At 43.9% G+C, this 24274-nt stretch overlaps 1 protein-coding gene across 9 annotated transcripts in view, besides 1 other annotated feature; it reads left to right on the top strand.

Moving 5' to 3' along the window:
- FLI1 (Fli-1 proto-oncogene, ETS transcription factor) overlaps positions 1 to 19977 on the top strand; it is a 128136-nt gene extending 108159 nt beyond the window's left edge. For 8 of the 9 annotated variants that reach the window (NM_001440370.1, NM_001271012.2, NM_001440371.1 and 5 more), the window contains 4 exons: positions 12076 to 12141; positions 13890 to 13949; positions 15867 to 15914; positions 17169 to 19977. In NM_001440370.1, coding sequence (NP_001427299.1) covers positions 12076 to 12141; positions 13890 to 13949; positions 15867 to 15914; positions 17169 to 17698 — 704 coding nt within the window. In that variant the 3' untranslated portion in view covers positions 17699 to 19977. The remainder of the gene's footprint in view (positions 1 to 12075; positions 12142 to 13889; positions 13950 to 15866; positions 15915 to 17168) is intronic. The other variant, NM_001440372.1, reaches the window with a different exon arrangement.
- Positions 22176 to 22285: an enhancer, noted in NCBI's record as "active region_5741". NCBI's record gives its function as "activates an Ori minimal core promoter by ATAC-STARR-seq in GM12878 lymphoblastoid cells {active_cell/tissue: GM12878}" and the evidence as "EXISTENCE:reporter gene assay evidence [ECO:0000049][PMID:35858748]".

A 24274-nucleotide genomic window follows, 5' to 3' on the forward strand; every position in this document is an offset into this window, starting at 1 on the left:
GAGATGTCAAAATCAACTTAAAGCATCTTAAAGACACGTCCAGGATGCTCCAGCTGCCCCACCCTGCCCCGTGTCCCTCCATAAATTCACCTGTGCCCTTGGTAGATGAAGGAATGAGGAGAAGGTTGGAGATGAACACTTGTGTTCTTAGAATAATCTCCTTCCATTGCTCTGGAATGCCCCACCCCTGCCCTGCCCCAGTATTGAGAGCCAGGGCTTCATCCCAATGCTTAACTGGAGAAGAAAGGCACCTTCCTGCCACTACAGAGTTCGCCTCTTCTCACCCCTGTGCCAGAAGGCTCCAGGCCAGGCACTGCTCCTGACCACTCAGAAGTTCCCACTTTGCCCTTTCTGCCTTCCCTGGGCTGTCTTTGGTCTTTCTGCTTATCAGAGCTGCCCTTAAATGCACCCTGAATAAATCAAGACCCTCATAGGTGCCCATGTGCTCTGCTACATTAATGATGGTGACAATGAATGCATGAGCCCTGCTACATTTTAGTAAAGGACGGTGACATTAGGTAAACCTCCAAGTGGGGCAGGGAACTGGTGCCAGGCTGTGGGACTGTTGCTGGGGGTCTCCAGAGCACCCTCCCCATTCGTTCCCATTGGACTCAGCCCAACAATGACTCCTCCCGCACTGCCAAGGAGGGGCTTTCATGACCCTGAGTGCTTGGCAGGGTAGAGCTCCACTACAGTTCTCAGTGGCAGTTCACATCCACTGGGTGGGCCGTTTGGGTTTTGCATGTCTTCTAATTTATCTGCAGACTCTGGGATGTTACTATTTTAGGCCTGCCATCTCTACCAAGTTTCCCCTTGACACTACACGCTCATCCCACTCCAGACGACAGAGCGAGGACTGCAGATGCAGTTGGCCTTGCTTGATGCAGCTTCATTGCTATTGCTTGGTTCACAATAGAAGTTAAAAGTGATCCCCGTTGGCCATTTAGAGGAGAAGGGTCCCAAAATACTTTGGGAAAAAAAAGGACAGGCCTATAATGCTCTGCCAGGGGCCACCTCAGCACAGAGTGTTCCAAATGTGTTGGTTCTGCCTAGTATACTGATTTAGAAATTCCACCACATGGAGGTTATTTGAGGCGATTGGTAGCTGGAAGGTATTTAAAAGAAACTTGTTTCACCAAATTCTCATCAACCAAATTCTTTCTTTCATCTATCTGGAGAGAGAGAGAGACGGAGAAGCTTCTTTTGTGCCAGACAGAGATCTATGAGCTTAGGGCATCTTCTAGTGAAAGGCCAATGTATAGGAAACATCATTTGTTATTTTAATATAAAAACCTTTCTAATCCCTTTTTATAGATTGAATAACTCTCTCTCTTCAGAAGCCCTTATCTAAGATAATAAAGAGCATATTTCTCATGAAATATCCTTGTTGGAGAAAAGAAAGTCCTTGAGGAGGAAATATGGAGGCTAGAAACACTACCCAGGTTGTGAGTGGGCTTTTTCTTTCTTGTCTCAGGGATCTGTAAGATCGAGAAGTTTAACATGGGTCAGGTGTGGTGGCTCACGCCTGTAATCTCAACATTTTGGGAGGTCGAGGTGGAAAGATCACTTAAACTCAGGAGTTCAAGATCAGCCTAGGCAACATGGGGAGAGTCAATCTCTACATCAAATAAAAAAATTAGCCAGGCATGGTGGCACGGGCCTGTGGTCCCAACTATTTGGGAGGCTTAGGCACAAGAATTGCTTGAGCCTGGGAGGTCAAAGCTGCAGTGAGCCAACATTGCGCCACTTCACTCCAGCCTGAGCGACAGAGTGAGGCCCTGTTTCAAAATAAAAATATTAAACAGAGGCTTAACATGCCTCTTTGATAAAGTTTAAATTCTTGTATTTGGCATATTCTAAAGAAAAGATGGTAAAATTAAGTGGGACAATTACTTTATCTGTCAAAATCCAACACACTCTTCAAAACCCGATTCAAGTCCTATCTGCCTCAAGATATGTTTTTCTTCCTCCTTAAGACTATAGTCTCCTCTCGGAGCCTCACCTCATTCACAGGCTATTTATGGACCTAATTACAGATTACCTTGTGGTCTTTAATTGTGAGTTTTCTCCTGGCTCTTTTCTTCCAGCCCTGTATATATTCAGTAAATACCATTGAATATTTACTCAATCCTGCTCCAATAAAGGAAGAACCAGAAGAAATTAGCTTTGGTTGACACAAGAAAAATTAACTTCTTATGTCCCATGAACTAAACTCTGAAAAAGAGTATCAGCTAGAGTTCTGTAGGATGCGTTAGAATATAGAAAGCAATTTTTTTTTTTTTTTTTTGAGACAGAGTCTTGCCCTCTCGCCCAGGCTGGAGTTCAGTGACGCTCACTGCAAGCTCCGCCTCCCGGGTTCACACCATTCTCCTGCCTCAGCCTCCCGAGTAGCTGGGACTACAGGCACCCACCACCACGCCCAACTAATTTTTTGTATTTTTAGTAGAGACATGGTTTCACCATGTTAGTCAGGATGGTCTTGATCTCCTCACCTCGTGATCTGCCTGCCTCTGCCTCCCAAAGTGCTGGGATTACAGGCGTGAGCCACTGCGCCCAGCCCTAGAAAGCATTTTCATATGCATGGTGTCATTTATTCTCAAAAGATCCCTGTGAGGATCCAGTGTGCTATTTGCTTTTCCAAACTCTTAAATTTAGGAATAATCACACCACTCTCTCCCGCCCCTGCCAAGTATCTACCTTTTACAGAGAGGTTCAATAAGAGGTTCAGAGAGGTTAAGTCATTTGCCTCAGACCACACAGCTCATAACTGACAGAGATGAGAGGCAAAGCAAGGAGTTCTGACCCCCCAGCCCAGAGTTCTTTCCTTTGCAATGAGCCATTTCCCTGTTTGGAATGGATTCACGAGAAATTATGGAATTTCTTCCCATGAAGATCTTTAAGAGCCCTTAGTAACACCACCAACAGTCCTATGCTTGATAAATTTTAGGTATCACTCTTCCAAAGAGATGAAAATCATTCTTGGTATCATTTTGAAAAATCTTTGAGCTTAAGAAGTCTTCGGCCTTTTGGGCCTGTCTGCAAAATAATTATCAGCCCTGCCCAATACACTAGAGGAGGTTAGAGAGAGGCAGTTTTTTGCTATGAGTCATAATTTCAATTTCTATTAAAATTCTTACATGGCCACATATGCTACCTCTCAGGCTTTGGGCCTCTGGGCCTGTGCTAATTTGCATGTCTGGTTTAGATAATGTCTGAGGTCCTTCCAGTCTAAAAAGGAGCCTCTGATGCTGTGATATAATAAGTGAGATCACATTCCACCTACCAAGACTTGATGGTTCTTTTTCTTTTAACTACTGTGCTCTGTCTGATGTGTGGATGCACAGCTCAGGGACGGAAGTGTTTCCTGCTCACCTGCCAGGCCACAAAAGAAGGAGTGCTCTTGGCCGGGCGTGGTGGCTCACGCCTGTAATCCCAGCACTTTGGGAGGCTGAGGTGAGTGGATCACCTGAGGTCAGGAGTTCAAGACAAGCCTGGCCAACATGGTGAAACCCCGTCTCTACTAAAAATATAAAAATCAGCCAGGCATGGTGGCAGGCGCCTATAATACCAGCTACTCAGGAGGCTGAGGCAGAAGAATTGCTTGAATCCGGGAGACGGAAGTTGCAGTGAGCCGAGATTGCGCCATTGCACTCCAGCCTGGGGGACAAGAGCAAGACTTCGTCTCAAAACAAAACAAACAAACAAACAAAAAGAAGTAGTGCTCCTTCAGCATGAACTCACCTGTCCACTTCTGCTACACTGAACCCAGAGACTTGTCCTTTCCTGCAAAGCATTTCAGACATAGGTCAAAAGGCAAATCATGGGAATTGTTGGGATTTTACGTTTCTTGATTTGAATGGCCGTTCTAATTCAACGTGAATCCAAGACCACAGACTTGACAATCACCTGATTCAAAATATGTGAAAAGTACTTGAGTCTTTAAAATATGGGGTTCATCTCACCTTTTACTATTCCTCTCCCAAACATCAAAGAGATGCTGTCAAGTTTCTTAGCTAACTTTGCTATCCTACAACATAAAGCAACTCTCATGCATAAAAAACTAATTAAAAGGAATTGGCTTTCCAGAGGGACTTTGAGACCAATGTCAGCCAATCTGTCACTTTTCAAAATAAAATTATGGAACTATGTAGAGCTCTATTTTCATAATGTTAGATCAAGTCTTTGCTCAAATTCTATATTTTCAGAGAAGACCTCCCATCCCTGCACTGCCTACTTCCCTCCTCTGGTTTTCTCTTCTTCATAGCATTCATCGCCTTCTAATATACAATGTAATTTACTACTTGTCTTGAATGTCAGCTCCACAGAGGAAGGACGTTTGTCTAGCGATTGTTGTGTTCTCAGCATGTAAAGTGTCTGGCAAGGTAGTAGACATTCAGTAAAACATTGTTGAATGAATAAATGTGTGGTGGGACATAAGGCATCAATTAAATCCAATAAGTTGGTGATGGCGAGGGGCAAGAATGAATTTTTGAGAGAAACAAAGGTGCTTAAGATACAACCCCTCTTCCTAAAGATGATCACCTAGCGAGGGACACAAGCGTACAAAGAATTACACTCAAAGGCTAAGCAGGACACGGGCAGTAGACACAAGACAACTCACCAGTGAGCCTTGACCTGCAGAACTTTGAAAGCAAAGGACACAGAAGCTGAATGTTACGCAGACCCAAGAGTGTATCCCCTATGGCCAAGGAGAAGAAGGGCAACCTCGCTGTGAACATTGCAACCTATGAGGGTCGGAGCAGGGCAGAGGGCGTTGCGTATAAACTGCCTCTCATTTATCCTCAAGCCTGATTACCTAAGTGAACTGTTATGTTTTCTTCTTTCTACCTGGAATCCTCTTAAACCAGAGGCAGATTTGACCTAAGAAGTATGCAATTTAGTTGCGTCTACATGACCCAATATGGAAGGAAGTTTTGGCAAACACCCAGTTAATCTAGTCAGTATGAATTGCTATTCCACATGAGGCTGGCTCAAAAATCCCACTTTGAGGCCTTATCAAAATAAATAGGTCATTTAGACATCTGTGTCACTTAGACACAGAGCCTGTGGGAGAAATGAAATAGAAGAAGGTCCCAGGTTCAGCAGGGAGCCTCACGTGGCCATGGCAAGGCTGTGCCCAGAGAATGTGCCACTTCACTCTCCACGCTTTTCATATTTAAAAGTCAGCTATTTCTTCCAAGCCTTTTCCTCGTAGGTCTTTTTTTCCCTTTGCCCATCTAATATCTTCAACAGTACCTCCATTATGCTCCACACAGCAGGGTCAGCTCCGAGGCAGAGGGGCTGTTGGATTCCAGGACAAGATCCTTGAGCAAAGGAAACCTGATCCAGGATGTTTTTTCCCTGTGAGTTCCAAGTTTGGGGAAAGCGTTCCCTGGATATTTTCCTCCTTCCAAGGTCTCAGTGGATGCCAAGCTCCTCTGTTGCTCTTTGGGATGTAAGACGCCGCTGAAGTGAAGGTTTAATAGCCCCTCTAGAATGGTGGGATGTAGTGAGGACTTGGTCCTGAGCTTCAAGGCCAGGTGGCCAGTGACTCTGGCACCTGACAGTGGGGGAGGAAGGAGGATGCTGGGTAATGCCTGGGCCTAACAGCCAGGCAGACCACCTGTAGCCATCAGCCCTCTCTGTCTTCTGGGGTGGGGTTTCTCAAACCAGGGTCCAGGATAATAATCCACCTCTTCTTTTAAAAGAAAGCCACGATTTATTTTATTATATTATTATTATTATTATTATTATTATTATTATTTTGCTTTGGAGACAGGATCTCACTTTGTCACCCAGGCTGGAGTACAATAGTGTAATCATAGCTCACTGCAGCCTTAAACTCCTGGCCTCAAGTGTTCCTCCCACCTTGGCCTCCCAAAGTGCTGGGATTACAGCCCTGAGCCACCACACCCAGCCTGAGAGCCAAGCTTTATTTAAATTTGGGAATCACTGTTCCAGGAGCACAGGAATAAAACTGTCCTTCATCCTTTATAGCCCTCAGGCTTCTCTTCCTTTTCAAGGCCTTCCTCAATGGGCTTGGTAATCTCATCTCACCAAGATAAGCATGGTAGAGGGGCAAGCAGGATGGAATAGACTCCATGTATATGGTGTGTATTTTTAAAATCACCATTTATCACATGCTTATTTAATCCTCATAGCAACCGTAGAAAGCACCTGTTATTAATGCTTTTCAGAGAAGCAGAACTGGAGGTTCAAAGCAGCTGAGCAACATGACCAAGGTCACTCCACAAGGCCAATGGCGGAGCTGGGATTTGAATCCCGGGTTAACTGATTCGAAGTCCTATCTCCTAACTGCCAAAATAATCCCCAGGCCCACCAGAGAGAAAGGATACCTTCGTGATGACATCCTAAGCCCTGCATCTACTTTGCCTCAGGGTGGGGCTGAGGGCGCGGACTCGAGCAAAGACTGCAGCAGATGAGAAGCTGGTCCTGAGCTGTGGGTTGGGAAGGTTCGGGCAGTGCAGCAGTTCTCACAGGTGGAGAGCAGGATGAAGGAACGCTTAGAGGAGAGCAGCTTCTGCAGGTTGGTGGCTGGGAGAGGCTGCTCCTCCCCAAAGACTGGACCTATTAGAAGCACAGGACCTCTGATGGAGATGGGGTTTTAGAGGATCTCCTAGTCCAGCCCTCTACCAGTACACGTCATAACCTGTCGGACAGCCCAACAACAAAGACCGCCGCTCACCTGCAGTTTCTTCCCTGTCGGAGTCTGGGAGTGAATCTTCCTCCTCGTGGGCTTGGCTCTCTTGGGAAGTTGAGGGCTTTGGGTCTCAGGTCTGCCATTGATTTGAGCATTTCTCCTGTGCATCCTCACTCTTTCAAGAAAGGAGGTCTGGATCTGGCTACCAAATCCCCCTGCTCTGCTGGGAGCATGAGCAGCCTTGCCCATTGCTCGGCTGAAAGGTCTGCATTCAGAAGCCAGGCTTTCCAAGGATAAACAGGGTTAGGTGCTGCCAGCCTTCTTAGCAGCAACCAGAAATTCAATGAGAAGTTTCAGGGAAAATTCATCTTTTTCCACCCAGTCATTGAGAGCAAGGTTTTATGACACAGAGGATGAAGAGAGAGGCTTTTGTGGGCTGATGTCGCTGTGTTGCTGGCCTCTGGTCAGGTCACAAGGTGGAGCGCTGCATGCCGGCAGGGACGTTTGGGCTTTCAGACAGCAGAGGCATCAGAGCAGAAGCAAATATCTTCCCAAAGATGTTTGGCCATATTTCTAGGACCAGGTTAAAAGCTTCACACAGAAGCTAAGTTAACATTGGTATGTCTATGAGAGGGTCATGTCCAGAAACAGCTTTCGCCTTCCAACAGAGACTTTGCGGAAAAAAATCTCCATGCTCATATTTCTCTACCTCAGGAGGCTCTCCTGGAATCTAAGAGGCCATTTAGTGTCAAATTCAGCCCCACTAAGCATCACATAATGGTGATACTGTTAAGGACATCATATATGTGAGGCTGAATTATCCACAATGGCTGGCAATGTCTTCATTCTCCAGACTGAGGCTCCGGCCTCTTTGCTTTGGCAAGAGTTGATCTCAGGACTGCCTGAAACCAGAAACTCCAGGCAAAGCTCTTTGGGTCACTCTTCTGAAAAGGAATCACAATAATAAGATCTGTTATCTTGGTACTCTGTAAAGCCAAGGTGTCAGCCTTCACGACAGTGAAAAGTTAGTTTGTCAGAACCAGGGTGTGATTGTCTGCTGATTAAGCCATCTGCCACCACAGAAACAGACCAAGATCATCAACTGGTACACTGGTGCCGACGGCCACATTTTTACACACTGGGCCTTTGGCTGCCACCTCAAGTTTGTCAGTTCTCAGGAGGCAGACTCCAGGCACCACATTCGAGAGGGCCTCCATGCACGCTCAGGCTTCTTCTCATAGCAGGCACACCCTGCCTGAGCCCCACTCCATGCGCTGACGGAGAGTCGGGGCAGGAGCTCTCATGCAGCCAGGTGTTGGGCTCTGCAAGGGGGTTTGTGTGGGGATGTGAGCCACTGGGTCAGCTCCCTGGTTCAGGCTTCTGCATTCAGGTTATAGACATATCTCTGTGTGTATGTTGGGGACTAGAGATGACCACACTGCTAAATTCTTCTTGAGTGACTTTTAGTAGGAAAAAAATATGAACCCTCACTTCAACAATGACATTGTTAAAAACACATAAAATGCACACCACTTCACCGAGCAGCATTCAGGCCTTGACTTCCCTGTGGGAACAAGCTTTTAGCCTATGCCTCATACATAAATAGGTGGATTGTGGTCCACTCAGAGGGGACACAGGAGTGATGTAGTCTGTACCCCTCAACACCCCAGATGGAAATCTTTTGCCTGGAGGCTTAATTTCGTGAAGAAGTCAGGGTAGGAGCACTGGGTTCTCTTCAGCTAGTGATATCATGAACAATAAGAAGAATTGTGTGTATGTAGCAAGTAGGAGAAAATATTGGCCAAGTTTATTCATTCAACAAATACTTAGAGTCTACTAACTCTGTGTGGGGCCCTGTTCTAAGTGCTTGGATGTATCAGAGAACACAACAGAGATCCCTACTCTTATGGACCTGATGTTCAGGAGGGAGGGGGATATGAACCATAAACGACAAATACAAATTAATTACTGATTAAATTATGTGATAAGTGAAAATGGAAGAGCAGAGGAAGGAGGATGAGGGAGTTGCGGGGAGGAGGGAATTAATGTGGATTTGGAAGGCTGCCCAACATGTTTCTGGGTCTGAATATTTTTGGTCTGTGACACAAATCGTATTCTTGATTGCTAACATCCACTGAGGCCACCTCTGTGCTGGGCACTATGCTGGGTGTTTACTTGGGTATCTCATTTACTCTGCAAGGCTGGCCTGGTTCTTCATACCCCTAGGGCAGAATGCAAGACTTTAGTTCTTGGCCTTCTGCATCTTCATGCTTTTTCTTTGGAGCAGAAATTGCTCTGAAAATGCTGGGTTTAACTTAAATCTTACATTGACCAGACGTCTCCTCGAGCCCCAGAGCCTACGGAGTGCTTTTGTTAAACCCCAGAGCCAATGTGCTCAGGCTGTCCTTTGTGCAGCCAGGTACCAGTGGGAAGATTTTCCATGCAAATACTTGGGAATAAAAAAGAAATGAGAGGGAGGCCTGTGGTCTTTGCTACTCTGACTCCACAGGCTGCTGGGATGGACGTTGGATGAAGACACCAGCTTAGGGCATGGCCTGTTGCTATTTATGACTCTATTACTTCACAGTGAGAGCACAGTTCAGGCTGACTGCTGGGTGGCCTCTGTGTTTCTGTCACTTCCTTTTTCACCTATGTGAGGACTGTAGCATTGATTGGGACTTCCAAAGTCCTGTTAGCCAAGCTTCTGCCATCAGATGGGCCTGTGGGCACATTGACCCATAAAACTCTGCCTCCTTCCTAAGGCCCTGGGGCACCACAGAAAGATGGGCCTGCCAAGCCACTGCTCTGATAAGGCATGCCTTTAACCAGGCTCCATCACTCAGAGCTACAGGAAAATCCCATGGTCATCCGCCCTCTGTTGGTGACAGGGAATTCCATCATGCATTCAGATTTTTGCATGCCTGCTCTGTCCCTGGAACTAGAATAAGAGAATAGGGAGAAAAGCCGATAAGAAGTCAACGATAACTATAGCCATGGCCATAATTTGGGCTCCAAAAGAAATAATTCTGAGTGGTTACCAGATAGCTTTCAGAGAGGGTTGAAGCCTTCAGTAGACTAATGATTGAGCAGAAAAAAATGTTTAGAAAACTTGAGACAGATTTTATCCATGCAGTAAGTCAGAAGTCAAGTCAGAAGTTCAGATGACATGTACGATTCCCTGGAATTTAGTGATTTTTTGTTTGAATGTGTTACTTCTCTTCTACTTTCTGTTCTGCTCCCACTAGAATTATCTCCTTCCCCCAGGCCCTCAGATCCACCCCACATACCACAAGCTCATTCTTCACCACACCCTGTTTTCTAGCATGGCTGCAAGCGCAAAACCTCCCTTAGTTCCCACCTGCAACGCCAAGGTCCCAGAGTTTGCTGAGCTACCATCAGCAAGACCTTGAACATGCCTCGGCCCTCTCTCCTCTCCCTCCACATTGCTCTACTTCAGTGGTACAGCTCCTCCCATGGCTGTCTCTAGACCTCACCTTGACATCTCACCACCCACCTCTGCCTTGTTCCTACCTGATGCACTCTCCCCTCTCCAAAGAGTCACCTGGCCCTAGTTCCACTCACCTCTCTGTCAACCTCCAGGAACCCTTTATGTGTCCTCCATGCCTTAGGCACATGACCCGTGTTTCCTCACAATCACAGTTACCCTCTCATACTCACATGCAAGGACGAGGAACTTGTTTCCTATTACTTCACACCCACTCCCTGGCCATGCACACAATACAGTGCAGAAGTTGGTCCCAAATCTATTACCAGAGGCCTAAGCAGCAGCCTCCTCCTGCTCAAAGAAAAATGTTCTGCCGCTGCCAACATTGCACTTCCTCTGCAAGACATCTCAGAAAATGCCCATCAGAGCCTTCCACCTCATTCCAAGCTTGCAAGCAAGCTGGTCTTTCATTTGTCTTGTTTGTTTTTAAGCAAGAAGAATCCCTTTAGAGGAGGAATTAGGAAAGAAAAAAAAGTCAAACAGAAACAGAAGGAGTGGAGGTTTGTCTCTCTCTTTTGTCCCCTGCCTTGCCCTTCCTCCCTATCCCATCCCCCTCACTTTCTGTGTTGCTTTTCATGCCAGTTGCTAAAGACTGTAATTTTAAAACTGAACGGGCTTTTCCAGAGCCTTGAGGAATGTGCATCTGCACGTGGATTTTTCCACAAAAAAAGTGTCCCTGTCTTTTGGATCTTCTTAGCCAGAAACAATGAGGCCAGGCAATCAGAGTCCATCCGTCTTCCCAACTCTTATTCTAATTTGTTTGAGAGGCTCAGAAGGGGCTGAAGGGCATGGTTGTGTTTCACCCCGTCAGACTCTGTTGTTTGATGAGGTTTGTGCTCCATTTGTTCGGATGGTTTTTATGGTTTCTTTGTTGTTCATGGAATAACTTTGAAGGTCATAATTCTGTATCCTCAAGCTCCTCTGCTATTCCTGCTCAATGTCTCAATGGGACTCATACCAAGAGAAAGGGAAGGAAGAAGTTTCCAGCTAGTTAGTTAAGCAATTTCTCAACACATTTATGGAAGCATGTGGAATCTTTCAAGAAAGGGGTTACGATCACAAAAGTTCGATTTGAGGAGTATTCTCCAAGACAACTGAGAAGCAAGCCCTTAGTCATGCCCAGGTGGGGAGCAGGTCTCCAACCTCTCATTTCCTGATCCAGCCCCTTTCCCAGCCACATTTCTGGCCTCTTCCCTTTCTCTGTGGTCATCAGCCCAGCCCTCTCCACTATCAATAGAAAAGCCCGAGAGCCCTCAGAGAGCCTGGAATGTGCTCCCACCGCTGTGATGTCATCCCACATCATCCATGTGCTGAAATCAGGGACTGGAGTCGGCCCCCAGGAATGTCATGGCCATGGGCTTTGAGACACTCTTCTTATGGGCCTTTCACCCAATCCAGACCTTGCCTGCTCTTCAGAGCTGCTTGAAGGATTTTGCTACAGAACTATGGACATTTAAGAAATGTCTAACCTTGTGTCAGTTTATATTTGTAGAACGCTTCATAAGGTGCTTTTCCATATGTTATCTCATCTGATCATTTCCACAACCCCATAAGGTAGATAAAACATAAATTTTTATTTCCGTATTAAAATTGAAGCCCAGAGGAGACTTTTGATTCATCCCAGGTTTCACAACAAAGAGTGTCAGGAAGAGAACTTGAACCAATCCTCTGACTTCACATTCAGGGTTCTTCCCATTACTTTGGCTCCCAGATAAGACTACAATCTTCTGAAAGTCAGAGTGTTAATATTCCAACCCCAGGGGGTGAGTACACTTCCAGAATTTAGGGATGCTTTAAAAGCCATTGCTGAATTGAATTTTATTTCTCCTGATCACTACAGATAATGCTCATGCAACTTTTCTGAGAAGCAGGCGATGCTAATGTACCCCTATTTGTTATTGTTCATTAGACCCTTCTTATGACTCAGTCAGAAGAGGAGCTTGGGGCAATAACATGAATTCTGGCCTCAACAAAAGTAAGTAAATGTTTTATAGTTCTTTGGAGGAAAGCATGTTTCTGAGGACAGGATTGGAGAACAGGATCATGAGACACAGGAGAGCAGCAAGCATTTGTTTCCCTGCTTTTTGAGTAGACATCAAAATTATTTGCCAATTTAGGGCCTTTCCATGATACCAGTCCTTGAAAGATGATATGGGATTTTCGTTTAGATTTTTGAGTTTTGTTTTATTGCGCTCGGTTTTAGAACATGGGAAATTTGAAGGTTTTCTTGAGACAAGGTTCTGTACCAATGAATGGTCACTGTCACTGGGTTTTGCTTTTGTTATTTAAATCAAGATAATGACTCTCTATAATTTTGCTCCCGTAACTGTTGAGGCTAAGTCGTACCAATTTCCCCATTCCCCTTGATACTGGGTAGATTTCCTCATATCATCATCTCACCACTTGGTGGAGAAATTGATGTCTCAGAACCCTGCCATCTCCTCAACAGGTTATCTTCTGTCCCTGATGAGGAGATGCCGGGGGGTCTGGGACATCAGGTTCTCCACCAAGTGGTGAGATGATGACATGTCGAAGTCTACCCAATATCCCCCAGTAAGAGAATAAGGGGCAAGAATGACTCATGAACTCCTGTACCAGAAATCAAACTTGCCATGCCTAGGAAGCAAAATATGAAGCACATGAACAGGTGGTAAAGGGAATTCTTTCAAGAAAGAGGTTGGGGTTACAAATTAATGCCCAAACAATAACCAAGACCCCTTCCAATTATGTGTATTAATTATTTACTTACTCTGCACATGACATTTGGCAATATAAGATTCACAAAGATGAATCAGACATGCACTGGTCCCATAAGCGGGAGAGAGAAATCAAGCACACACAGAACTCCTTTCTTCTGGTTGGTATCAAGGAAGGCTTTGTGGACCTGGTAGCACTTGAGTTAGCTCTGGAAGGAGAGGCAGGATTTGGACCTGTGGCGATATGGGCTGGGGAAGACATGAGCTTGGCATGTCTGACAGTCAGTGAGGACCTCAGGTTCCTGGAGCTTAGGATGTGTGATGCAGAAGAAGTCTGGAAAGGTAAGAAACAGAATTGTAAATGATGCTATGAAGATATGCCTTAGTTCTTTAGGCAATGAAGAGTCACTAAGGTTTTGAACACTGGCGTGTATGGTGGGTTGTGGGGAGACAGAAGAGTAATGAGGACACCAGTCAGACTAAGCCAGAAACCATGCAAGAAGCAATACAGATCTGTGATGCAGAAGTGATCATGGGAATGGAAGGGGTGTGTGAGAGATACCAAGGAGGAAACTCACAAGACAGGGACACCAGGAAGCAGCTGATCTTTGCTCAGATGTCACTTTCTCAGTAAGGACTTCTCTAACTTTCCGATTTGAAAATGAAATCCACAGCCTCAGTACCATCAGTGATGCTATACTGTTAGTTTACTTTTTAAAAATTTGAAAATGAAAAGGTGACATTTAAGCAAAGACAAAATTTTAAGAATTTAAAAATGTGTTTATTATTGTCTCTCCCATTGGAATGCGAGTTCTACCAGGAACTGCTTGTTCATTCCTGAATCTCCAGCCTGGAGAACAGGGCCAGCACATAGTAGATTCTAGGTAAATGTTTCTAAAATAAGATGAATAAATGAGTCAGTGGAGAGTGGGCGAAGGAATGAGTGAGAAAGCACATCTGTCAAGACGTCTTGCTCCCCTCGGGGAGCTGGGTCCTACTCACTGCATTTCTTTCCCTCTTGCCACAGGTCCTCCCCTTGGAGGGGCACAAACGATCAGTAAGAATACAGAGCAACGGCCCCAGCCAGGTACCTGCCCAGGATATGTAATCTCTCCTTTGCTTCCTGCACAGTTGTTGATTTCACATGGTCAACTGATGGAGGGTTTAAACAATATACCACATATGTTTTCTCTTATTTCTCTCAAAGAGGGTCTATCTTTGACCCTAATAGTCCTGTGAATGAAGTAACAGGTACTGACATCAAGTAGAGACTTGTTAAATATCAAAGGTGAAAGAACTTGAAGATGAACTATTCCAATGCTTTATTTTGTTCAATAAAGAAACTGAGGCCCGGGGAGGTGAAGTGACTTGCTAAAAACCATACAGCTGGTTAATGAAAGAAATAGGGCTACAATCCCAGATCCCCCAAATTCCTGTCCAAGCCTTTTATGCTTCACCAAACCTTACTTTCAGAAATATCCCCATCCTGTGATGAGTTGGCTTAACAATTAAGGCAGAGGAACTTTGAAAGCCATGGACCTGGAGACTCCGTATTGGAGAGGAACTTGGAGATTTCTGGGTCTATCCTACCCTCACCTCTACCTTACTTGTGCTTGTAGTAAAACAGGGCGTTGACTTTCTAGCTGGGCTCAGTTCCACTATCTGACCCAAAGTCTGCCTCCTGGAATTTCCACTCAAGCTTTTCCTTCTGGAGAAGCCTTCCTCCTGCTTCCTCCGAAATCCTTTGCATATCTGAAGACAGCTGCTGTGCCCAAGCCCCAGCTCCTCTCTCTATCTTCTTATGTGATGCAGCTGAGATGAAGTTCTGAACAAGTCATTTGCTTTGGGGTAGGCAAACATTGTTCCCCATCTCCACAGAAGGCAGAGCAAGAGAAAATCAACTGACATTTCACCTGGAAGGTTAAGAAAAAATTTGCTGACTGTGGATCATAAGTCAGATGTAGAGAGTTTTAAAGACTGTCCAATAACAACAAAATTATGCATTAGTCATCACCTGCCAAAAATAATTATCATATTAATGATGTGGATGAGAAAAGATGGTCTCAATGGGCTTAAGGACTTTTGAAGGTAATTTATGGTTCTAAGTAGAAACCCAAAAATCATAGTGATATTTTTAAAACTGCAATTATAGTTGAAAAATAGCAAAATTTTACAAAATACATGACAATTTTGCCAAGTCGAGACCCAGCTCTCTACCATGATTTCCTCAACTAACAAAAAAGGAGATAAACCTCTCACCTAAACCAGTATTGCAAAGACTTTTTCATGGCTAAATAAACACATACGTTTTGAGGAAAGTGAGATTTTAAGAATAGTCATTTTATAGCTAAAATGTACACTCTGGTTTGTGCTGACATTTCTGGCTTGTGTGACATTTCAAATCACAGAGTGTTATACTAGAAGAAAACTGAGGAATCCAGTAGCCCAACCCACTCATTTGTCAGATGAGAAAACTGATTCCCAGAAATTGTCCAACAAGTTATTTGTTTATCACATAGCTGCTGCTAAAACCCAGGCTGCTTGGTTTCTAGGCATGTGTTTTTCATGCTACATTTAAAAAAAAAAACAGATTAATAATGTTGTTAGTATTAGGTAGAGTTATTAAAGACCAGTAACCATGAGACCTGCTTTAAGCCCATGGAGTCAGCTGTCCGTTGTATCATTGAATATTATCCAGTTCCTTTCCAAATGTTTTCTTTGTTTTGCTTTGGGTAATGACAACATAATCTGCACATTTTAGATGCCAAAATAAGAAAAAGTAATCCTGTTCCTATTCTTTGTTCTTTCTGTAATTATTGAGATGAAGACCACAAATGTCATCAAGATCTTTGAGATCTGCAAATAAAAGCAGTAAAGTTTTCTGAAATCAGTCTTTCCTGTGATCTTGAAATAAAAGTATAAACCCTTATGGTTTTCTTATGGTTGGTACGGTTGTCATATTTTTTAAAAACACTGAAGCAAATTTCCTTTTTTATTTCCTTAGATCCGTATCAGATCCTGGGCCCGACCAGCAGTCGCCTAGCCAACCCTGGTGAGTTTACCTTGGCCTGCAAGCCTTTTTTGCCAGAATGTTTCGTAGCTTTGTGAAATCACAGAGACTTCTGTCCTAAGTCCAGACACCTGAGTGGGGAGTAACATGCACGTCTTTCCTTGAAATGTTCAATGTCTGTTTCTGGAGCATGTGAACAACAGGTCAGGGCTTGTTATGAGGTGTCAAGGTTGGTTAGCTGAGGATACTTCTAGGAATAAACACATCAGCACTGCACATGTGCACTTAGGTGTAGATGAGTAATAAGTGGCACAGGTAGGTAGGCGTTTCAATCAGAGAAAATGGGCAAGAAAGAAAAGAAGACAACTCCACTCAGCTCTCAGTTGTCTCCCGCATGCCAGGCACAAGTTCATAAATATTCCAAAGGGTTTTATTTGTGATTTTAGAAAGTGTTGCCAAGTTATCTGGCCTTATAAAAGAGATGTGTCCTGGAAAAGTTGCAGATATAGTCAATTTGACCTTGTACTTTAAAGATTTAGTATCAAAAATAACTCTCAAGAGGGTCCTTCTAAACCAAGTCCATCGAGATTGGGAGCTAGCAGGCCCTTGTCGCAGTGTGGCCCACTCACCTTCCCATCCCAGGGACTCTGCCTACCCATTCCTTAGTGCCTGGTCATTACTGCCAGAGGAGAAAGCAGCCACCCAGCATATTCTGGGTATTTTTCTCTCTGCACAAGTTCTCTGTAGAACTTAGAGCTGCAAGCCAAGCTCTGGGCCTGCCAAGGGCCAATCCAGGTCCTGTCCATCCAAAAGCTAAAGCTCATGGCGCAGCTTCTCCCAATGACTCCCACAGTCATGCCTTGCCCCTGACTTTTTATTGCTGACAGGGAATTCCCTGGGGGACATGACCACTAATTAGAGATCAGTCAGTGATTCAGGCCTTTCTAGATGAAGAGATTCAAAAGCCTTGCCAAAGGGATTGAGGGGGGATATGGCTCACCCAAGATCACACAGCTAGTTCTGGGCAGAGTTTGCACCTCACTTCCCACATTCCATTTACCAGGCCTTGGGGCAAAGCATCTTAGGATCTAACCTCGCTTATTATACCCATCTCCAAGGCAAGCAGAAAGGCAAATCAACAATGACATAAGAAGGGCTTGTCAAGTCGATCCCAATGTCGAAGGAAACAAAAGGTTTCTTTAAAAGGATGAGAAGCTCCCTGCATTTAGGGAACTGGGTTCTGCCTTCTCTGGGCTGAGGTGTTCTGTTCTCTCCCGTTTGCCTCACGGCGTGCAGGAAGCGGGCAGATCCAGCTGTGGCAATTCCTCCTGGAGCTGCTCTCCGACAGCGCCAACGCCAGCTGTATCACCTGGGAGGGGACCAACGGGGAGTTCAAAATGACGGACCCCGATGAGGTGGCCAGGCGCTGGGGCGAGCGGAAAAGCAAGCCCAACATGAATTACGACAAGCTGAGCCGGGCCCTCCGTTATTACTATGATAAAAACATTATGACCAAAGTGCACGGCAAAAGATATGCTTACAAATTTGACTTCCACGGCATTGCCCAGGCTCTGCAGCCACATCCGACCGAGTCGTCCATGTACAAGTACCCTTCTGACATCTCCTACATGCCTTCCTACCATGCCCACCAGCAGAAGGTGAACTTTGTCCCTCCCCATCCATCCTCCATGCCTGTCACTTCCTCCAGCTTCTTTGGAGCCGCATCACAATACTGGACCTCCCCCACGGGGGGAATCTACCCCAACCCCAACGTCCCCCGCCATCCTAACACCCACGTGCCTTCACACTTAGGCAGCTACTACTAGAAGCTTACTCATCAGTGGCCTTCTAGCTGAAGCCCATCCTGCACACTTACTGGATGCTTTGGACTCAACAGGACATATGTGGCCTTGAAGGGAAGACAAAACTGGATGTTCTTTCTTGTTGGATAGAACCTTTGTATTTGTTCTTTAAAAACATTTTTTTTAATGTTGGTAACTTTTGCTTCCTCTACCTGAACAAAGAGATGAATAATTCCATGGGCCAGTATGCCAGTTTGAATTCTCAGTCTCCTAGCATCTTGTGAGTTGCATATTAAGATTACTGGAATGGTTAAGTCATGGTTCTGAGAAAGAAGCTGTACGTTTTCTTTATGTTTTTATGACCAAAGCAGTTTCTTGTCAATACACGGGGTTCAGTATGACACAGAATCATGGACTTAACCCGTCATGTTCTGGTTTGAGATTTAGTGACAAATAGAGGTGGGAAGCTTATAATCTAATTTTAGGAGGACCAAATTCAGTGGATGGCAACTGGAACATTGATTGTAAGGCCAGTGAAGTTTTCACCCAACTGGAATTTGATGGAAAGAAGGTTTGTGTGTTTAAGACGCCAAGGGCATTGCAGAATCCCTCTCAGTGGACAGTATGCACTCAGCTGACCACTCTCTCTAGAAATAGTCAAGATATGAACTAAGAAATTTTAATGCAAATACATACATTCCTGAAAGACGGGGAATTAAATTACTAATTTTTTTTTTTTTTTAAATGATGACAGTGGTCCCAGAACTTGGAAAAGTTGTAGGGATTTCTAAACTCAAGCAGATTCGCAAGTGCTGTGCGCTTGTCAGACCATCAGACCAGGGCCAACCAATCAGAAGGCAACTTACTGTATAAATTATGCAGAGTTATTTTCCTATATCTCACAGTATTAAAAATAAATAATTAAAAATTAAGAATAAATAAACGAGTTGACCTCGGTCACAAAAGCAGTTTTACTATCGAATCAATCGCTGTTATTTTTTTTAATGTAATTTGTACATCTTTTTTCAATCTGTACATTTGGGCTGTCTGTATGTTTTTATAGCTGGTTTTTAAAAAGCATAATATGCCTATAGCTGAAAAGGAAACAGGGCTGTTTAAGTCACTGACTTATGAGAAAGCAAAGCACTGGTACAGTTATTTAACAGGCATACACAAGCAGGGAAAAGATAATCCATTTAGATCTTTAATGCTTTGGAAATGCGTGTAACAGTACTGCAATAATCACAGCTCTGGGAAAAACAACGAAACTTTCCCTTGTGGAGAGGAGGGATTTTCCTGCTCTATATAAGCAACATATTTTTAGACATTAAAATATATATAATTTTGCAGGTAATTGTTGACTTTTTTAACTATATTAAGTGTTAAGCTGACAACTGTCAAAGAAGACCATGTTGTAAAATAATTTGACTAAATAAATGGTTCCTTCTCTCAGTGCTGAGGACAGTTTTCTTATTTACCGCCCCCGTTAGGTCAAAGGGTTTTCCCTGGGGAACTTTCCTATTTACTTCTTGCACTATCAAGAATTTTTCGAATGTACCTACTGCAGTACAGCAGAAGGTAAAAAATCAGTGTGGTTTTTCATTGTTGTTGATGATGTTTGTAGTGTTTTTGTGTGTGTTATTTAAATCTTCCTCCAGCCTAAAAGGGTTTTATAAAACAGCAGCTAAGGCCATGGATAAACCTGTATGTAAGGACTGGAGCAAAGCGAGCTGGTCTATCCAGACTGGTCTGTGAGATTTAACTCTGCAGCCTCCCCTGGGCACTTCAGACCCAGACGGCCACCTTCTGCCACTCCAGCAAAGAATAAGCGCCCTGCTTCCTTCAGGTCTCAGACCAGGACTTTATGGCTCATGCAGATTTTTAAGGTCATTTTTCTTCCCAAGGAAGAAACTTGCCTCCAGTTCCTTCACTGTTAGGTAGCTTATTTTCATTTTCTCTATTTTACAATGAAAAGAGTGAGACCTGGGAAGTCCTTGATTTGCAAGGAATTAGACTCACAGCATTGGTAACCCTAGAACCTTCTTAGGGTAACACTAAGTACCTTCTAGACAACATGTCTACCTAAATGAAATGGGATGTGTTTCGGAACATTTGTCTCCAGTTTTTTTTTAATCTTGCACCCTGCCATTTAAAAAGATGTGTAAAGCACATATTCTCAACATATGCACATTGATTTATAAATCATATATACAAACTGTTACATTATTCTTCATATTAGAAAACAAATACAAAATAGAACATTTTAAATGGTGATATAAAAATAAATTGAAACTGAAATTCTACTCTTTTCCTCCTATTTTCTCTATATTGAATATCCTCTGCTATTAACTCTCAAAACAAAGATGTTGGTCTTTAGTGAAAAAAGTGTATGCATGTACTGGATTTCTAGTGACTTCCAAGAAAGGAGAAAATTAAAACTTGGTATTAGTGGCCCAAGCATAGAAAGAGGAATGATGAAGGCCAGGTATGTTTAAGAACAAACTAGCTGAATTCTTTGGCAGATCTCCATCTTAGCCACGCAATTTCCCCATCAATTTTGAAATCTGCAAAGTATTCATTAGGGAAAATGGAGGCATATATTTCTGAGTGCTGTAAGAAGATGCTCAGCCCATTAGTTCATTCTTTTAAAGGTTTTCTTTATGTGTCCTACTCAAACACTGGCTCAGGCTCATCTTCTCTACACAGTCATAGAGCTTTAGCCAAATCTCGCCCCCTGAATATGTTCCACAGTGATTTGTCCTATGCCTCAGAAGCTGGCCCACTGGCTGACAGGACTGGGGCACCATTTTCTCCTCATAAGCATTTGTACAGAGGGGGCACTGGCATTTATTCCCCTGCAATGCCCAGATTGAACGTTTGCTAGCTGGCTCCAGGGCATGCAGCGGACTAGTCCCAGAGGACAAACAGAATCTTTGCCCTCCTGTCTGCTAGTCCAGTCTTTTCCCTGCTGGATCATTCTGTGCCTGTGCCATGAGGTTTCTGCCATCTAACAAACAGTGCCAGCCAAGCAAAGCGGGCATGCAGGCCTGCAAGTGGTTCTCATGGAAGCTGTTCCTCCCCACAGTTTGGGACACTGACCAACAGTCCTTTAGCAGGAGGTCGTCTTAGTCCATTTGGTCTGCTATAACAAACTACCATAGACTGGGTGGCTCATAAAAACAGGACTTTATTTCTCACAGTTCTGGAGGCTGGGAAGTCCAAGATCAAGGTGCCAGCAGATTCAGTGTCTGGTGAGGGCCCTTGCCTTGGTTTATAGAGGGAACCTTCTCACTGTGTGCTGATATGGTGTAAGGAGCAAGGGAATGCTCTGGGGTCTCTTTCATAAGGGAATTAATCCCACTCTTGAGTGCTCCACCCTCATGCCCTAATCACCTCCAAATACCTTCACATTGGGGATTAGGTTTCAGCATATGAATTTGGGAGAAGGGACAGACACAGTCAGTCTATAGCAGAGGTCATCTTTTTTCAGTGTCGAAAAATGTTGTTGAGTCCCACACAAAGGAAGTTCTATTTTATTTTATTTTATTTTATTTTATTTTATTTTATTTTATTTTATTTTATTTCTGGAGATAGGGTATCTCTATGTTGCCCAGGCAGGTCTCAAACTCCTGGCTTCAAGCAATCCTTCCACCTCAACCTCCCAAAGTGTTGGGATTACTGGCGTGAGCCACCACACTGGGCCTATTTTCAATATCTGTTATTTTAAAACATTTTTAATAGTCAACAGCCACTAGAAAATGTAATGACACTTAAAAAGATTGTTATTTTACTTAACCAATAACATCTGCATGCAAGTGAGCGATGAACATACACAAAGGGAAATGGATTAAGAGGTTCTCAGATAAGGTTTGCTAGTTTAGACCAAATGAGATCAGGAGGTTCTAGAACACAAGGGAGGAAAGCAGCATCTGTCCACCCCAAGCCAAGTTACTGCCAACCCAAGGCAATGCTTAGTGGATAAATAAAAACCTGAACAAAATGCAGTACTTCATGTGAGAGGTGGTTTCTGTGGACTTGGATTCTTACCGTATTTCCTCTAATATCTGTTCATTACAAGCATCATGTAAACCTGTTGCCTTAAAAACTCTTGAAAAGGTGTCCTTTGGGGGAATGTGCTTGGGGGAAGCAACCCTTAAGCATGGCTGTCTGCTGCCCAGCCCCACTCCCACACCTTGCTCAGAAGTTCCTCCACCATCAACAGCACCACTGAGCTTGTGTCCAGAAGGCCCTCAGGGGGTCGAGGTAAGAGGATGCTTTGTATCAGTGGGGGCAGGGATGGGAGAGGTAATAAGAGCCGGGATGGGGGCCAGGGGAGTGACTGGGTTCTGGTGAGCATACAGAAGCTTTGCTGTTATTCAGGAAGGAATGCAGGTTTTGCAGAAAGCACATTGGGCATTTCATCACGTAGAAAGCTACTGAAACTGACACTACACGCCCTCAGCCAGGGAGTCCCGCTAAGGGATTATGAAAGGCAGGCTGATACCAAAACTACAAATCCCAGGCTCCCCCGGGGGATGGACACTTGTGAGAGGAAGTGGGTTAGCCAGTCAAACCTCCAGGGTTTCAGCCAGTTGAGAAAGGATAGGGAGGGAAGTTTTAAAAGGAATGTGGGCCCACAAGCCTGGGATCTGTCTCTCTCTCTCAGTCTGATGCGGCCTCCTGTCTAATTGTTTCAGTCTGTCCGAGCTGGTAAATCCCTAAGCACATAGTCAATTTACACTCAGCTTAAAAGCTCTAGAGGGAGACAGGAAAAATTTCCAGTGAGACCACTCACTCACCTACAACTGCTAGATTAACCTTCTGCATTTTAACTGAGTTAACTCATATGTTTTCTTAGTGGGAGGAAAGAGGCAATTTGAGTAGACAAATGAAAATGAATACAATGCCAGAAACCCTGGGTTCAAATGCTGGCCCTTCCACCTACTGGGTAACTTGTCTTCATCGATTAACTAGGACCTGAGTTATACCTCCTGCATGAGTTTCTGTGAGGCATCGGACGACAGTGTGGAAAACCCATTGTAGACTGCTGTACAGGAGGTTTATGGATAATCATCGTTGTCTGCTAGTATTGGCTAGTATTTTTCAAGAACATTCATTAAGTCCTTGGTAGCTGGTGGGCACCCTGTTTGGGGAGTTCAGTGCAGGGTCATTTTTGTTTTGTGGTCAGAAAGACATTTTCCAAATGGGTGCAAAGTAGAAATAAGTTGGGTTTTCCAGAGAGTCTTTGCATTTTCCCCATCCACGGCCCTCCCAGTGCCCCACTTGGGCTTTTGCCCTTCCTTGGCTCTATGTGTGCACCTAAAGCCAGGGGAGCGTGTGGCCAAGCTGCAGGATGTTGCAAATAAAATGAGATTTTATAAAGGAATGCTAAAAATGTGCTTTCACAGCAATGTTGGATGGGATTTTTCAATCGGCTAAGAAATAGAGGTTGGGAGCTGGGATTTTATGCCCGGCAAGCTCGGAGCTTGATTTTTCCATCTATAAAATGAGGATGATTTAATAACTGTACAAGAGTATCACTGGAGTTAAGTAAGATAGTGTACATAAAAATGCTCTGTATGTTGAAAAGAACTAGGAAACTGCAAGATTTCCTAGGTATTATTGCCAAGGTCTTACTGTCTTCATCGAGAGGCAACTCCTCTTTACCTTCAAAACTCTGTACAGGTCTCTGTTCCTCTCTGATCTAAGATAGAGTGAAGCCACACTATTCTATTCTATTCTATTCTGTATTGTGAATATACATTGTGATTTTTTAAAAAACTGTAAAATCTTGAAATAGTCACAAACTTCCAGAAAAGTTAGAACAGTACGACGAACAATTTTTAGTGAATCATTTAAGAGAAATTTGCCAACCATGCTTCATCAACCCCAAATGCTTAAGGGTATATTTCATTTAAACAACAACCTTTTCCTACATAGTCCAGTATAATCAAGAGAATCGAATAACTAATGCAAGCGGATTACTCCTATGTAATCCCGAGGCACCATGCACTGTTGGCTGATTGTCACCACTGCAGTCTTTTGGAGCAAAAGGTTCCCATTCTAAAACACTGATTGTGTATAGCTGTCATCTACCATTAGTCTCCCTCGGTCTTTCAGGTCTGTGACAATTTTGAATATGACAGGTCAGGTATTCTGTAGAATGTTCCCCAATTTGGGATTGCTGGTATCTCTTCGCGATTGGATTGAGCCAAGGCTTTTCTGAGAGGACCATCGCAGAAGTCATGCTGCCTTCCTCTCCTGTATTCCATTGCATGGTACATCATTTCAACGTATCCCGTTATTGATGAAGTTCACTCTTTGTTTAAGGTGGTGCCTCCCAGCCTTCTCCTTTGAAAAGTTATTCCTTTACCCTTTGTAATTAATAAGTATTTTGCGGAGGTTTACTTTCAAAATATGTAAATATCCCATTCAACATCAAATTGCAAAGTATTCATTCATTTATTTATATCTCTAAGACTCATGGCTCTCTATTTTATTGAGTGGATATGATCTGTTCTTTAATGATTACATTGTCCCAATGGAAGGATATTCACGCTGGCTTCTGTCTCCTTTGACATGTTCCCATCAGTCTTTAAG

This window comes from Homo sapiens, chromosome 11 (genome assembly GCF_000001405.40).
Source record: "Homo sapiens chromosome 11, GRCh38.p14 Primary Assembly".
Taxonomy (NCBI): Eukaryota; Metazoa; Chordata; class Mammalia; order Primates; family Hominidae; genus Homo; species Homo sapiens.